This window comes from Homo sapiens, chromosome 14 (assembly GCF_000001405.40).
Source record: "Homo sapiens chromosome 14, GRCh38.p14 Primary Assembly".
In the NCBI taxonomy this organism is placed as follows: Eukaryota; Metazoa; Chordata; class Mammalia; order Primates; family Hominidae; genus Homo; species Homo sapiens.
The window spans coordinates 35,696,867-35,714,291 of NC_000014.9; the positions used below are offsets into that span (position 1 = coordinate 35,696,867).

At 35.1% G+C, this 17,425-nt stretch overlaps 1 protein-coding gene across 24 annotated transcripts in view; it reads right to left on the reverse strand.

Moving 5' to 3' along the window:
* RALGAPA1 (Ral GTPase activating protein catalytic subunit alpha 1) overlaps positions 1-17,425 on the reverse strand; it is a 270,940-nt gene that overhangs the window by 158,511 nt on the left and 95,004 nt on the right. For 13 of the 24 annotated variants that reach the window (XR_007063998.1, XM_005267492.5, NM_001346247.2 and 10 more), the window contains one exon: positions 3,296-3,436. The exons of the other annotated variants lie outside the window; for them this stretch is intronic. Coding sequence is in view for 12 of the 13 variants with exons in the window: in XM_005267492.5 (XP_005267549.1) it covers positions 3,296-3,436 (141 nt within the window). In the remaining variant the exon portion in view is untranslated. The remainder of the gene's footprint in view (positions 1-3,295; positions 3,437-17,425) is intronic. 24 annotated transcript variants of the gene reach the window in all.

Genomic DNA, 17,425 nt, shown 5'->3' on the forward strand with positions numbered 1-17,425 from the left:
TTACTTTTTCCCCTTCATACAGTTCACTTTCTTATTAATTCTCTGCACATTAAACTATTCTAAAGTAAAATTTAGTCAAACCTTGGAAGAAACATCAGCAATTAAAAAGTATGATTGGTTGATGATCTAAGATTTTGGTGATTGTTTTTTAATTTAGCACTATTTTTACAACTCTCTATTCTTATAACTCATACATTTTCTCTTATCTCTTCCACTCTCCTTCGCTCTACACCTAACACCTGAGGAATCAAATTCCAAGTCTTTAATTTGCTTCCAAGAATCGCAGAGGCAAAGACCAATCCAATAATTTAGATTTCTACAATGTAAACTGGTAGAAGATTAATCCTGCTTAATTTTCATATTGGTTCTCTCTGGAACCTTAATGGCACAGGATATCAATATGTGTACTTGGAAAGGTGTTCTGTGCTTAAATAAGTCTGAGACATATTCAATTATAAACAGTGTTTTTTTTTGTTTTGTTTTGTTTTGTTTTTTTTTGAGACGGAGTCTTGCTCTGTCGCCCAGGCTGGAGTGCAGTGGGCGATCTCGGCTCACTGCAAGCTCCACCTCCTGGGTTCATGCCATTCTCCTGCCTCAGCCTACTGAGCAGCTGGGACTACAGGCGCCTGCCACCAAGCCTGGCTAGTTTTTTTGTATTTTTAGTAGAGATGGGGTTTCATCGCGTTAGCCAGGATGGTCTCAAACTCCTGACCTCATGATCTGCCTGCCTCAGCCTCCCAAAGTTGCTGGGGGTACAGGTGTGAGCCACTGTGCCTGGCCAACAGTTTTGTTTTTTTTTTTAACAGGTTTTCTAAGGGCCTTTGGTATGTTGATTTGCACTATGAATCTTTAATCTTTTCCTCTACACACCTATTTGCATCTCCTGGAAAGTGTTCTAAATTTACGTATCAGCTTGAAAAATCCTGACTTCATTTGCAATCAGGAAAGGAGGGATTTTGCTATTTTAAAGTGACAGGTTCCTTGCCTCTTTCAAATTCTAAGAGAAAAAAATGATTTTTAATTCAAAATAACTGTAATTATGCTTTTATATTTTAAATGTACACAAGCATAAAAAACTGGCAGTAAAAGCATCTGAAGTTGTCAATAAATTATCACTGGTTTTGGAGGATTATGTGTATTTTTGCATATGCTTTTCCATATAATCCATGTTTTCTAAAATGAACATTATTTTGATAATCAGATATAAAGTTTGTTTTGTTTTAGTGACTGATGTCTCAACACCATCTAAATCTTTAAATTTATCATAGAAGGCATATTACCCCAGATAGGGAAAAGGAATACAACAAATAAAATTGCCATTTAGAAAATTCCTTTCCAACAGTGCTCATAAATGTTTAAATCATAAAATCATTAAAAAGGTAAACTTTCTGAATTATGTATTTACAGCAAAGCAAGAATTCTGAAATAGGAACTTCTCATCCTGGGTATGGCACCACTCTAAAATATTTTGAAAGGAACAACCTTATCTTTGTTTTAGCTATTCAAAAATGTTTTAGCACTTAACATGAATATTTGCCAATATATTAAGTTGCAGATGAGAAATTCTGTAAATCCCTTAAGATGTGGAGAAAAAAATAAATCTTTCTGACAGTTTTTTTAAAACAGTAGAGGAATGGCTAATCCAATCAAACTTTTAAGAATTAGTGGCCAAGAGAATTCAAATTCTGTACTCGATATAAATAAATAAATAAATAGAATAAAATAATAATGGAAGTGTTCAAAGCTCATTTTAATTTTTCTAAACATGTCAAGAATGGTTTGCATTAAATGCTCTAAGTGTGTCTTTTATAAAAGCTAGGAGCAAAAAATGTATCCAAGAGAAGTTTACAACAAACTCAGAGTTTCTTTTAGCTGTATCTAATTCAGTTTTAAGAACAGAAACATTGTTTGCCAACTTAAGTAGATTATAATTTGATGTAAGCAACCAAAATCTGTGCTACTTACATAAGGAGGTACAGTGCTTAAATGGTGCACTAAAGAGACAAAAATATCCTAATTCTTTATTTGTAGCTAAGCATCATACGTAACAAAATTGTGTGCCATTTTCTACCATCTATTAAAATTTATATTATTACATCTACATATTTTTAAATCTTACTAATTTTCTGTACTGGTAGCTTAAAATATTCAGGTTGCCTAATTTCACTGATGTAAAATACGTCCATTCATTCATCAATACTTACTGGATATTAAGGTTTGAATTGAGGCCAATTTTTCTATTATTGTCATCAATTAAAAAATCAACTCCAATTTCTTATAAACCATTTCTAATTAATTATATTATGGTTCCAAAGTTAACAAAACAAGTAGGTTTCTTTGAGCTAGCACAGTATGCACAATCATTTTATTTATGCCAAAAAAATTTTTTTTAAACAAAACTGATCTATGGTGATGAACAGCAAAAAGTTGTATTTGCGTGGAGGGGAGGAGTGTGTGGTGATTGACTCAAAAAGGTCACTGGGAAACTTTTTGAGGTAGTGGAAGTGTCCTATAATTTGTTTGTGGTGATGGTTAATAGGGGTATGTACAATTTTCAAAAATCATTCAGTTGAGTCTATGGATCTATGCATTTTATTACATGTTAATTAAAGCTTAATAGAAGAGCAGACCGTGCCAGTACTGGGGACCAACGACCTGAGGCAGAACTGGAAAGCTAAGCAGGTTTTGAAGCTCCTTGGAAGTTAGGGCTTCACAGAATGGTTTAAAAATGAGTGAATCCTTAGAATTCTATATATGATTATATGTAATATAAATACAAAGATTTATTCCAAAGCAACTTTTAGATTATATACTTTTCCCAAATACTGATTACCCTTACTTAGTTCCATTACTATAGATAATGCAGAATAAATTATTCAAGATTTACGATATTATTAGTCAAAACAATGGGAAATTAAAAGTCAATGCTCTGATTATCTTCCTAAGTCATCTTTTACAAGACTTCTATTATATAAATGTATACTACTACTTCTTTTAACCACCTGAGAGGAAGAAAAAAATCAAACAGCAAAAAAAAAAAAAAAAAAATTGGCCATTTACAACAAAAAATACTGGACATTGGCACAGCACTAAACTTAGCACTTCCAGAATGAACTGCAAGGACAGGATTAGAGTTCAAATAACTCAAAATGTTGATTTCTCAATCACTTTCCCACTTTCCCACACCTCCCCCAAAGAAATTAACTTTAAAGAGTTTATTTGATTAAGCAAAATTTGAAAGCAGAGGATTAAAAAGTGAAAAAGGTGGTGCAGAAATTAGCAGAGGTGGCACTACCTGAAAGCTCATCAGAAAGGGGAGTGAGAACAATATCAGGCAAGAAGGGTTTGGAAGTATGGATCAGAACAGGAGCACTTTTAGCACTGCGTATATAGGCCGATGGCAGAGCACATTCACCAATGGATCGGCTTCTCATGGCTTTAAAAAAGGAAAAGAAAGAAGTGGGGAAGGAAAAAAGAAGAGTGACTATAATGAAAGGCTCGTGTCACAGAAAAAGCAGCAACAGAGAAAACTAAAAGGTACAAAGGAAGGAAATTATAAATTAAAACATTTCAGCACGGCAAATACTGGCAAGCTGTAAGAAAAGAAATCAGAGAACACACACAACATTTTGAATATAATTTTTTTATATAAAGCAGAAAAATGCTATTATTATTAGCAGTTACAATGGAATAGCATTAAACAACAGCAGACACTTTAATTAGCATTATGTTCTCAAAACCAAGGGTTGAGAAATTCACTGAATGAAAACATTGAAAATAACTCAATATTAATAGTTCAAAGTAACTTTTGGAACAATATTTGGGCATTTCTCTAGGCAATCCTGAGCCATTCTTACTAACGAGGCTGAATTATAAGAATAAATCATTCCTACTTTCATACTCTTTACCAAATAAAGTTTTCTAAATCACTCACAGGTCTTTCTTAGAAATTTTTAGGTAATTCATAGTCAAAAGGATTTAATCTCATGTCTAGTATGTGTTTCTGGTAAGAGGATGCTAATCAAATCAGTATCTTTTATAATAAAGTATAGGAGTATAATTAAAATTTTTACATAGAAACAGAAAACAATTTGCAGAGCATGAAAAATTGGGTTCTTGACAAAAATAGATAATTTTGTGCTTATTCAAATCATAAACATAAAAACTTAAAATTGTTTTCAAAGAAAGCTTTAAACTGGATTACTTTTTAAAAATTGCATTTGTAGTTGCATTTGATAATTTCTTAGGAGAGTCCCTAGTTCACAAAAATTAAAGATAAATTATAGTTCACTTAGAAATAAATAATCAAGTTTACTCTTCCCAGAGATTTTTAAAAAAACATTTATTTCAAGGATTCTTAATTAAGTTATAGGTATTGTTACACATGAATCAAGGACTTAAAAGAAACAATACTGCATAATATCCAGTGTAATAGTAATGGTGGCAAAATAAATAGTTTGAATATTAACATCAATTCAAATTGCTGAGTTTCCTTGATTACTGGACAGACTTGGTTCCCTGAAGTCTAAATTCCTTAGATTATCACACAACTCACACAAGGCCTTTACGACTTGCCTACAATCTACCACTCAGTAAGACTTTTCTTTTACTGTCCTCCCGTGCTGCCGCCACTCAGAATTTTATAATGTTCCTTAAAATTTTCATTCTCTTTCATCATCACATCATGACTTTGTATGTTGCTAATTTCCTTGGTCTCTTTTTCTTCCTGATATACTCCTTCATACTTGAAGTATCATCTCACCTGAAAAACTTTTTTTTCTTTTTCTTTTTTTGAGACAGGGTCTTACTCTGTTGTCCAGGCGGGAGTACAGTGGCATGATCATAGCTTGCTGCAACCCTGAACTCCTGGACTCAAGCCAATTCTCCCACCTTAGGCTCCAGAGTAGCTGGGACCACAGGCATATGTCACCATGCTTGGCTAATTTTTTTTTCTCTATTTTTAGTGGAAACAAGGTCTCGCTATGGTATCCAGGCTGGTGTCGAACTCCTGTGCTCAAGCGACCCTCTCACATTGGTCTCCCAAAGTACTGAGATTACATGAATAAGTCACCATGGCCAGTCCCTGAGAGGTTTTTCTAACTCTCCCAAACAATTATTTACTGGCAACACAGCAATAAACAAAAACAAACAAGAATTCCCACTTTTGCAAAACTTACAATCTATTTTTAGTGGACTGTATGTTTTTAGGTCAGCCTCCTCAACTTTTCGAATGCAAGAACCATATCCCCTGATCTTTGAATCCCTACTCCCTACCACGTATAAGTGCAATAATTTTTTACTTTTACTGAATATCTATATTTGAGCAGGAGTCCAGCTTAACCATTTGAAAAACAATTTCAGGCTGTGAAGATACAGAGGAGAAAGTAAAAACAAACATTAAGCAAAAACTAAATGCATTTCATAGTTTATAACTGGAAAAAGATAATCATAGATTTAAAAAATGTATGAATGCCAGCAAAATTAAGGATTCTTTAAGAACAATCTGTAGGTAAAAAATATAGAAGCATGGAATATGCTAAGATAATGGCAACAATTTGTCTTTAGTGTATGGCTTACCATGCTGTGTATTAAAGATCAAGTGTATTTTAAAAACAACCCATATACAAAATGTCAGAATCTCACCCTATTCCAGTTTTCCCGCTAGCTTCTTCCCTTCTTGAGAAAGTAACCAACAATTTTATAATCTAATTTGAAACAAAAGTTACGTTGACTCCAACACAATCACTCATTAAAATTGGTCAGAGCAAAGACACAAATACATATGCAAATCTTAAAGTGTTGTTACACAGAGGGTGAAACATCATCTATAGTTGTAATCACCTTTAATTAAAAAAAAAAAATATATATATATATACATTTTTTTTTTTTTTGAGACGGAGTCTCGCTATGTCACCCAGGCTGGAGTGCAGTGGCGCGATCTCGGCTCACTGCAAGCTCTGCCTCCTGGTTTCATGCCATTCTCCTGCCTCAGCCTCCTGAGTAGCTGGGACTACAGGCGCCTGCTACCACGCCAGGCTAATTTTTGTATTTTTAGTAGAGACAGGGTTTCACTGTGTTAGCCAGAATTTTTAAATATATTTTTTAAAAACCTGAATTGAGTTTTTGATTCCACAGATAAATTATAAGTTTTTCTTTTTTCCCCTAGGGGATAATTTCTGGGAAATAACAACTCCTTTTTTTCTTTCTTTCCCAACACAGACTTGAAGGAAGAGCTTGGGCATTTCCCTTGGAACTTTTTCCATATTTGCAGTGGAATAAATTTATGTTGTGATTCTGAATGAATTCTTTAAAAATGTACCCCTTGGCTGGTGTGGTAGCTCACACCTGTAATCCCAGCACTTTGGGAGGCCAAGGCAGGAGGATGGCTTGAGCCCAAGAGTTTGAGACCTGCCTGGGCAACTGAGGGAGACCCCATCTCTACAAAAAACAAAAACTAAAACATTAGCTGGGTGTGGTGGTGCCTCCCTGTGGTCCCAGCTACTCCGATGGCTGGAGGTGAGAGGATCACTTGAGCCCAGGAGGTCAACGCTACAATGAGCCATGTTTGTGCCACTGTACTCCAGCCTGGGCAACAAAGTTAAGACTCTGCCTCAAAAACAAATTTAAAAACCCTAAAAAATGAAGCAAAAATGGTCACCTCCTTTTGTTGTTGTTTTTGTTTTAACTAAAAACTCTTAAGTCTTTAGGCATACCTAGAAGTCTGTCAAGGGCTTCACAGCTATGCAACCCTCACTATAGAAAATTATTTACAATGAATTAGCTATTGAGATCTTTTGGGATTTACTAACCTAAACACTTAGTTACTGACATTTCTATTAGCACATACATTCCTAAGACACATACATCAGTGATCATAAATCTATAATATGCTTAATGGGCAGTATGAAAAATATAACATCAAAAAGTAAAAACAGATTTTCAAATTACGAGCATGACAATTTTTGAAGGCTTCCTATCTTTTCCCCTCTCAAAAAAAAAAAATGCATTCCCATAAATTCACCTTGGACCATACAGACTATATAAAAAACTGTAACTTGCACTCTAGAGTTTCCGTATAGCATAAGAAATTCATGGACCGCAAATGTGATGGACCCTTAACAGCATATAAATACAAAAAATAAACATGAGGAAGGCAACTCCAGAATTTTCTCATTTCCAAAATATGATACATTTTCCTCCTTATTTATTAAAATTCACATTATGTATACATTCCTATCCATTGGCAGAAATACCTGTTAAAGTCCCCAAATGTAGGCCTATTATCATAATACACATAAATGAAAAGCAAAATCCGAAAACAAAACAGTGATATATATGCTCCAAAAGTTGAACACCAGGTCCTAAATCATAAATGCAAGCAAGTTACACTGCTTATGAGTATGTTCAAAAATAATTCTTAAATTCATTGCAATCTCTCTTATTTGTTAGCATAAGCAAAACCACAGACATACTCTCCACATTTTTTACATTTTAAACTTAACTATTAATAACAAAATTTATCTTAAAGCCATCTTGAGTATTCTAAGATAAAAGGATTATATCATGCTTAATATCTTTTAAATGCAGGTAAGTTCCCTTTCTGTTTATTAAGTGAACAATAATGAATAAATTCTCTTAGACTTTCAAAGAAAAAACAAAAAAATTCTCTTACAATTTCTATCTGAAAATTCTAGAAAGCAACCAGTAAAATAAGTCTTCGAAACATCATGTGACAAAACTGTTACTTTGCAAATTTCAACATAGACTATACTAGTGTCTTCATGAATTGTAAGGACATAAGGTCCTTACATCAGTTTAGATCACCAGCATAAAGAAAGCTGTTTAAGTTAGTCAGAAAAAGTTAAATATTGTATCACTCTATCAGGTAATTCAAAGTCATAGGAAAAAATACAGTTTAACAAGAGAAGAACCAGGTTTGTTATTAAAGGAAATAATTCATAAAAGAGAAATGTAAATCAATGTCAGAAATAAAATTTGTTTCTCCCAATGCAAGTCAGAAAGTAAATAAATGGAGAATGACACAAACTAAAAAATGAATTAAAAATTTTAAAGATAAATCTGTGGTTATTTCAAATGTCTAAATTATTTTCTATTCCAAAAAATACATTTTTTTAAATATACATTTTTCAAAACAGTTTTAGGTTTACAGATAAAAAATGAGTGTCAACTACAAAGAGTTTCCATACATCCCTTTCCCCCTCCCTACCAGTTTCCCCAATTATTAACATCTTGTATTAGCATGGTACATTTGCTACAATTAACAAGCTCATATTGATACAGTATTGCTAAAGTCCATAGTTTACATTAGGGATCACTGTTTATGTAGTACCTTCTATGGGTTTTGAGAAAGTATAGTGACACATATATACCATTACAAGTATCATACAGAATAGTTTCACATCTTTATTCTCTGTGCTTGCTTCTACCTATTCATCCCTTCTTCTAGCCCCACCCCCCTATTCCTAGTGCCTGGAAACCAGTCATCTTTTTACTGTTGACAAAAGTTTGCCTTTTCCACAATGTCATATATTTGAAATCATACAGTATGTAGCCTTTTCAGATTAGCTTCTTTTACTCAGCAATACTCATTCAGTTTCTTCATGTTTTTTTTTTCATGGTCTGAAAGCTCATTTCTTTTTATCATGGAATAATATTCCATTTTATGGATGTACAACAGTTTGTCCATTCACCTACTGAAGAATATCTTAGACAATTACAACTAAAGCTGCTATAAATATTCATGTGCAGATGTTTGCGTGGACATGTTTTCAACTAATATAGGTAAATACAAAGAGTGCTATGGCTGGATCCTACAGTAAGACTATGTTTAGGTTTGAAAGAAACTACCTGTCTCCCAGTGTGATGATATAATCTTGTATTTCCACCACCAGTGAGAGTTCCCATTGCTACACTTCCCTGCCAGCATTTGGTGTTGTCAGTGTTTTGGATTTTAGCCATTCTTTTAGGTGTGTAGTGGTATCTTGTCTTAATTTGCAATAGTCTAATGACATACGATGTTGAGTATCTTTTCATATGCTTAGTTGCCATCTCTGTATCTTCTTTGGTGAGATGTTTGTTCACATCTTTTGCCCATTTTTCAGGTTGTTCTCTTCCTGTTGAATATTAAGAGCTCTTTGTATATTTTAGAACCAGTCTTTTATCAGGCATGTGTTTTGCAGATTTTCTCCCCATCTGTGACTTGTCGTTTCATTCCCTTAACAATGTCTCTCACAAAGCAGAAGTTTTAAATTTAATAAAGTCCAACTTAGCAATTTTTTCTTTCATGAATTTTATTGTTGGTATTGTATTATAAAACTCATTGCCAAACCCAAGGTGTCCTAGACTTTCTCCTATGTTGTCTTCTAGGTGTTTTATACTTTTGTACATCACATTTAGGTCTATGATCTGAGTTAATTTTTGTGAAAGATGTAAGGTGTCTAGATTCATCTTTTTTTGGCATGTGGATGTCCAATTGTTACAGCACCATGTTGAAAAGACCATCCTTTCTCCATTGAATTGCCTTTGCTCCTTTTTGAAAGATCAGTGGACTCTAGTTGTGTGGGTCTTTCTGGAATCTCTATTTTATTCCATCTATTTGTCTATTCTCTCACCCATACCATACTTTCTTGATTACTATATTAAATTTTGAAGTCAGGTTCTGTCCCTTCTCTGAATTCATTCTTTTCCTTCAATATTGTGTTGACTCTTCTGGCTCTTTTGCCTTTCCTTTTTTTTTTTTTTTTTTTCTGATACAAGATCTTGCTGTGTTACCCAGGCTAGAGAGTGCAGGGGCACAATCATGGCTCACTGCAGCCTTGACCTCCTGAACTTAAGCAATCCTCCCATCTCAGGCTCCCAAGTAGCTGGGACTACAGGCACATGACACCACATCCAACTAGTTTTTGTATTTTTTGTAGAGACAGGTTTTGCCATGTTGCTCATGCTCTGCCTTTCTATATAAATTTTAGATTCTGTCAATATCCACAAAATAACTTGTTAAGAACAAAATCAACTGAGATTGTGTTGAATCTACAGATTAAGTAGGGAAAAAATGACATCTTGCCAATAGTGAGTTTTTCTATCCATGTACATGAACTAGACCTCTCAACTTATTTATTCTTTGATTTCTTTCATCAAAGTTTCATAGTTTTCCTCATATAGATCTTGTAAATATTTTGCTAGATTTATACCTAATTGTTTTGGAGATTTTTGATGCTAATGTAAATGGTACTGTGCTTTCAGTTTCACATTCCAGTTGTTCATTGCTGGTATGGAAGGAGCGACTGACTTTTATATATTAATCTGGCATCCTATAACCTTGCTATAATTGCTTATTAGTTTCAGGAGGTTGTCACTTTGAAATTTTCCACATAAATAATCATGTCATCTACAAAGATAGCTTTATTTATTTCTTCTCAATCTGTAGACCTTTTATTTCCTTTTCCTGTCTTACAGGAATAGTGAGATATCCTTGCCTTGTTGTGGATCTCAGCAGAAAAAAACCTAGTTTCTCACCATTAAGTATGATGCTAGAGGTAAGTTGTCCTGTGTTTTTATTTTTTAATAGATTTATCAAGTTGAGGAAGTTCTCCTTATTCCTACTTTGCTGAGAGTTTTTATCCTAAATGGGTGTTGGATTTTGCCAAATGTTTTTTCTGCATCTATTGATGTGATCATATGGCTTTTCTTCATTAGCCTGTGGATGAGATGAATTGCATTAGGGTAATGCAGTAGTCCTCAAAAGAATTAGGAAGTATTCGTTCTGCTTCTATTTTTTGAGAAAAGTTATGGAGAATTATTTCTTTCTTAAATATTCAGTAGACTTCACCATCTGGGCCTGGTGCTTTCTAATTTGGAAGGTTGTTAGTTATTGATTCAATTTCATTAATACATACCAGGCTGTTCAGATTATCTAGTTCTTCTTGTATGAGTTTTGGTAGATTGTACCTTTCAAGTAATTGGTCTATTTCTTTTAGGTTATCAAATTTAATTCTTTTATCAGTAAATAAAAGGATCACAAAAACAGACACACAGACCAATAGAACAGAACAGAGAACCCAGAAATAAATCTACACATCTACAGTGAACTCATTTTCAATAAAAATGCCAAGAACATACACTGGGGAAAGGACAGTATCTTCAATAAATGGTGCTGGGATAACTGGATACCCATATGCAGAAGAATGAAACTAGATCCCTTTCTCCATATAGAGAAATCAAACAAAAATGGATTAAAGACTTAAATCTAAGATCTCAAACTATGACATTATTGAAAGAAAACTTTGGGGAAACTCTCCAGGACAATGAAGCAGGCAAAGACTTCTTAAATAATATCCCCAGGCAACCAAAGCAAAAATGGACAAATGAGATGACATCATGTTAAAAACCTTCTGCACAGCAAAGTAAATCATCAACAAAGTAAAGAGATGACCCACAGAATGGGAAAAAATATTTGCAAAGTATCCATCTGACAAGGGATTAATAACTAGAATACACAAGGAGCTCAAACAACTCTACAGGAAAAAAATTAATAATCCAATTAAAAATGGACAAAAGATCGATAGACATTTCTCAAGAGACGACATACAAATGACAAACAGGTATGCGAAAAGGTGCTCTACATCACTGATAATCAGAGAAATGCAAATCAAAACTACAATGAGATAGCCCACCCCAGCTAAAATGGCTTTTATCCAAAAGACAGGCAATAACAAATGCTGGCCAGGATGTGAAGAAAAGGGAACCCTCACATACTGTTGGTAAGAATGTAAGTTAGTACAACCACTATGGAGAACAGTTTGGAGATTTCTCAAAAAACTAGAAATAGAGCTACCAATCCAGCAATCCCACTCCTGGGTATACACCCAAAAGAAAGGAAATCAGTTTATCTAAGAGATATCTGCACTCCCATGTTTATTGCCAACACTATTCACAATAGCCAAGATATGGAAGCAACCTAAGTGTCCATCAACACATGAACAGATAAAGGATATGTGGTATATATACGCAATGAAGTATTATTCAACCATAAAAAAGAATGAGATCCTGACATGAGGTCATTATGTTAAGCAAAATAAGCCAGGCACAGAAAGACAAACATCACATGCTCTCACTTATCTGTGGGAGCTAAAAATTAAAACAATTGAAATCATGGAGATAGAGAGTAGAAGGATAGTTACTAGAGGCTCAGAAGTACAGTGGGGGAAAGGGTAAGTGCAGATGGTTAATGGGTACAAAAAAAAATTAGAATGAATAAGACCTAGTATTTGCTAGTACAACAGGGTGACTATAGCAAAAAATAATTTAATTGTGAATTTAAAAATAACTAAAAGAATATAATTGGATGGTTTGAAACACAAAGAATAAATGTTTGAGGTAATGAATACCCCATTTACACTGATGTGATTAATACGCATTGTACTCCTGTATCAAAATATCTCATGTACCCCATAAATATATATACCTACTATATACCCACAAAAATTAAAAATAAAAGAAATAATAAAAGGATCACTGGTAATGGTTCTTCTTTCATTTCTGGTATTAATAATTGATATCTTCTTATTTTCTTATTTAACTTAGCTACAGATTTATTGGTTTTGTTGATATTTTCTAAGACCCAACTTTCGGTTTTGTTGATTTTTCTCTAGTGATTTCCTATTTTCAACTTCCTTGTTTTCTGCTTTAATTCTTATTATTTCTTTTCTTCTACTTACTTTGGATTTTTTTTCTCTAGTTTCCTATGGTGGAAGCTTAGATTACTGGTTTTAGATCTTTCTTCTTTAGTAATATATATTTTCAATTCTGTACATTTTCCTCTAAGCACAGCTTTCACTGCCCACAAATTTTGATTTTATATTTTCATTTAGTTCAAAATATTCTACAATTTATCTTGAAACATCTTTGAACTGTGCGTTATTTAGAAGTGTGTCGTTTAATCTCCAAGTATTTTAGAGTTTTCCAATTTTTTCCATCGATTTATAGTTAAATCCATTGCAGTCAGAGGGTATATTATGTACGATTTCTATTCCTAAAAATGTTTAAGGCATGTTTTATGACCCAGAATGTGGTCTTGGTGAATGTTTTGCATGAGTTTGAGAAGAATGAGTATAATCTCTGCTGGATTAAGCAATTTACAGATGTCATAATTAGATCCAGTTGACTGACAGTGCTATTCACTTCATTTATGTCCTCACTGATTTTCTGCCTGCTGGATCTGTCAATTACTGATAGAAAGATGTTAAATATCCAACCACAGTACCACTACTTCTTCTATTTCTCTGGGCAGGTTTATCTGTTTTTGCCTCATGTATTTTGATACCCTGTTGTTACTGAACACACATTAAGGATTATTACGTCTTCTTGGAGAATTAATCATCTTTTTTTTTCTTTGAAATGGAGTCTTGCTCTGTTGCCCAGACTGGAGTGCAGTGGCACGATCTCAGCTCACTGCAACCTCTGCCTCTCGGGCTCAAGCAATTCTCCTGTCTCCCAAGTAGCTGGGACAACGGGCATGTGCCAACAAGCCCGGCTAATTTTTTTGTATTTTTAGTAGAGACAGGGTTTCACCATGTTGGCCAGGCTGGTCTCAAACTCCTGACCTCAGGTGATCTGCCCTCCTTGGCCTCCCAAAGTACTGGGATTACAGGCATGAGCCACTATGCCTGGCCAGAATTAATCATCTTTATGTAATACCCCTCTTTATTCTTGATAATTCTCCTTGCTCTAAAGTCTGCTTTGTCATGCACTGCATAATGATGTTTCGGTCACCAACAGACCGCATGTATGATGGTGGTCCTTATGGATTATAAAACTCAATTTTTACTGTAGATTTTACATTTATAATACTCTATTTTAGCTGTAGGGATTATAATACTTTATTTTTACTGTACCATTTCTATGTTTAGATATGCTTACACAAATATTTACCATTGTATTATAATTGCCTACAATATTCAGTACAGTTACATATTGCACACGTTTGCAGCCTAGAAGCAACAGGCTACACCATACAGCCTAGGTATGTAGTAGACTATGTCACCTAGGTTTCTGTAATACATTCTACGATGTTCGCACACTGAAGAAATCTCCTACTGATGTATGTCTCAGAATATATCCCCATTTGTTAAATGACACGACTGCATAATTAGCTTCACTTTCTTTTGATTAATGTTAGCATAGTATACCTTTTGCCATCTCTTCATTTTTAATCTGTCTAATCTATGTATCTTTATATTTTAAAGGGACTTCTTATAGTCAACATATAGTTGAGGCTTGTTCCTTTATCTGTTGAGACAGTCTTTGTCTTTTAATTGGTTTATTTAGACAGCTAATGTTTAAAGTGATTACTGCTATAGTTAACACTGTACCACATTTGTTCCGGTTTTCTATTCAGTGCCTTTCTTTTTTTATATTCCACTCTTTACTGCCTCCTCTGGTTCTGAGTATTTTACATGATTCTATTTTTCTCCCCTCCTAGCATATGAATTACACTACATTTTAAAAAAACCTTTTTTAGTGGTTGCCCCTGAGTTTGCAATATACATTAACAACTAATCCAAGTCTTCTTTTTCTTTTTAAGACAGGGTCACATTCTGTCACCCAAGTGGGAGTGCGGTGGCATAATCTCCGCTCACTGCAGTGTCAACTTCCTGGGCTCAAGAGATCCTCCTACCTCAGCCTCCTGAGTAGCCGGGAGTACAGATGTGAGCCACCACACCTGACTAATTTTTTGATTTTTTTTGTAGAGACAGAGTTTCACCATGTTACGTAGGCTGGTCTTGAACTAGGCTCAAGCAACTCCAGCCACCTGGCCTCCCACCTGAACTCCAACCACCCTGGCCTCCCAAAGTGCTGTAATTACAGGCATGAGCCACTGTACCCCACCCAAGTCCTCTTTTTAAAACAATGCTGTACCACTTTCCAGCTAGACATACTTAAAAGGATTCCCAATTCCTCCTTCTCATCCCTTAAAATACTGCTGTCAATCATTTCACTATCCACAAGCTATAATCACCTAATATGTTTTCGGTTTGTTGAACAAATCATTAGCTGTTAGATTAATTAAGAATAAAAAAGGCTGGGCGCGGTGGCTCACGCCTATAATCCCAGCACTTTGGGAGGCCAAGGTGGGTGGATCACTTGAGGTCAGGACTTTGAGACCAGCCTGGCCAACATGGTGAAACGCCATCTCTACTAAAAATACAAAAATTAGCTGGGCATGGTGGTGCACACCTGTAATCCTAGCTACTCAGGAGGCTGAGGCAGGAAAATTGCTTGAACCTGGGAGGCGAAGGTTGCAATGAGGCCAGATCACGCCAAGGCACTCCAGCCTGGGTGACAGAGCATGTCTCAAAAAAAAAAAAAAAAAAGGAAAGAAAAAGAAAATATTTTATTTTATTTTACTTTCTTTTCCAGTGTTGGTGGTAAGTAAATATTTTACTTTCATTCATTACTTCTCTAACACTCTTCCATTATTTATGTAGTTTCTGACCTCTATCACTTTCATTCTTTATAAATAATTTCTTTTAACATTTCTTGCAAAGCAAGTATACTGGCAACAGATTCTTTCCATCTTTGTTCATCTGACAGTCTTTATTTCTCCTTCATTTTTAAATTTGTTATATTTATTATTTTTCTTAGACTGGAACTTGCTCTGTCACCCAGGCTGGAGGGCAGTGGTGCAATCATAGCTCACTGTGGCTTCAAACTCTTGGGCTCAAGCAATCATCTCACCTCATTCTCCTGACAAGCTGACTACAGGCACGCGCCACTGCACCCAGCACATTTTAAAAATTTTTGTAGAGACAGGGTCTCACTATGTTGCTCAGGCTAGCCTCCAACTCCTGGCCTCAAGCAATCCTCCCACCACCTCAGTCTAAAGTGCTAAGATTACAAAGTGCTAAGATTACAAAGTGCTAAGATTACAGGCGTGAGTTAATGCACCCAGCCTCTACTTCACTTTTGAAGGACAAATAAGCTGGATCTAAAACTCCAGGTTGGTTCATTTTCTTCTCTCACTTCTTTAATAAATGAAGTCTAGTAATGTGGAAAGTAGAGAGCAAAGGAGAAAGGAATAAAATGAGACTGGAAAAGTGGGCAGAGGCCTAATCATGCAGGGCCTTATAAAAATCATGGTAAGATTTTCAATTTTATCCCAAGAGCAATAAAAGACCACTGAAAAATATAAGCAAATAAGTTACATCAATTTGAAATTATTCTCAATATCACTATGACAAGAAGGTAGAAAACGGATCTGGAGGTTGTGAAAAACTGATGCAGGGAAGTTAGGAAATTCTTGCAGCAATGTAGATGTAGTGGTGTACTGGACCAAGATAGCAGCAGTGAAAATGTAAAGAAGTGAAGAAAGGTGAGAGATACTTAGCTCAAGATACAATCATCAGGATATGATGATTCAATCAGAGTTTGGGGATATAGGAGAGAGAGAAGAGTTGAAGCTAACTCCCAGACTTCTAGCTTGAGCAACTTGGTTATTCTCTATCCCCACTGTTTGTCCTTCATCCCTGGTCCTGACTTTACATTAATAAAGCTACCCACTTCAGGTTCCATTAGTGTCTTCTTAAACTCACAGTACTCAACATTTCCAAATTAATTCTAAAAACAGTTTTATTAGGTTACTCCCCTTCTCAATGATGAGGAGGAATCCAAAGTTTTTTGTGTTTACAGGATTATTCAGTAGTTCTTTTTCAGCTTTTACATGTAATAAGCAAAAGGGAAAAGTGAGAAATTATACCAGAAAAATCCATTAAAATAAATCAGATTGGTCCCAATACTATAGTAATACTAGAGCATATGGACATGAATTTGTCAGTCTCAGAAGGTCATGAAATTCTTGAGAATAGGAAATAAACTGCACTTTAGACTAAAAATGATTTTGGCAACAAGTATATAAAATTGATGTGAGCGGGCCAGGTGCGGTGGCTCACGCTTATAATCCCAGCACTTTGGGAGGCCCAGGCGGGTGGACTACTTGAGGCCAGGAGTTCGAGACCAGCCTGGCCAACGTGGTGAAATCCCATCTCTACTAAAAAACAAAAATTAGCCAGGCGTGGTGGCAGGCGCCTGTAATCCCTGCTACTCGAGAAGCTGAGGCAGGAGAATTGCTTGAACCCAGGAGGCAGAGGTTGCAGTGAGCTGAGATCATGCCACTGCACTCTAGCCTGGGTGACAGAGCAAGACTCCGTCTAAAAAAAAAAAAAAAAAATTGATGAGAGCAGCCACTCTTCAAGTCTCTTGGATATATACCTGTGAATGGGATTGCTGGGTCATATAATTTTAACTTTAAAGGAACTGATTTCGAGAGTGTTTTTCAAAGTAGCCGTACCATTTTACACTCCCACTAGCAATATATAAGGACTCCAATTTCTCCACATCCTCACCAACA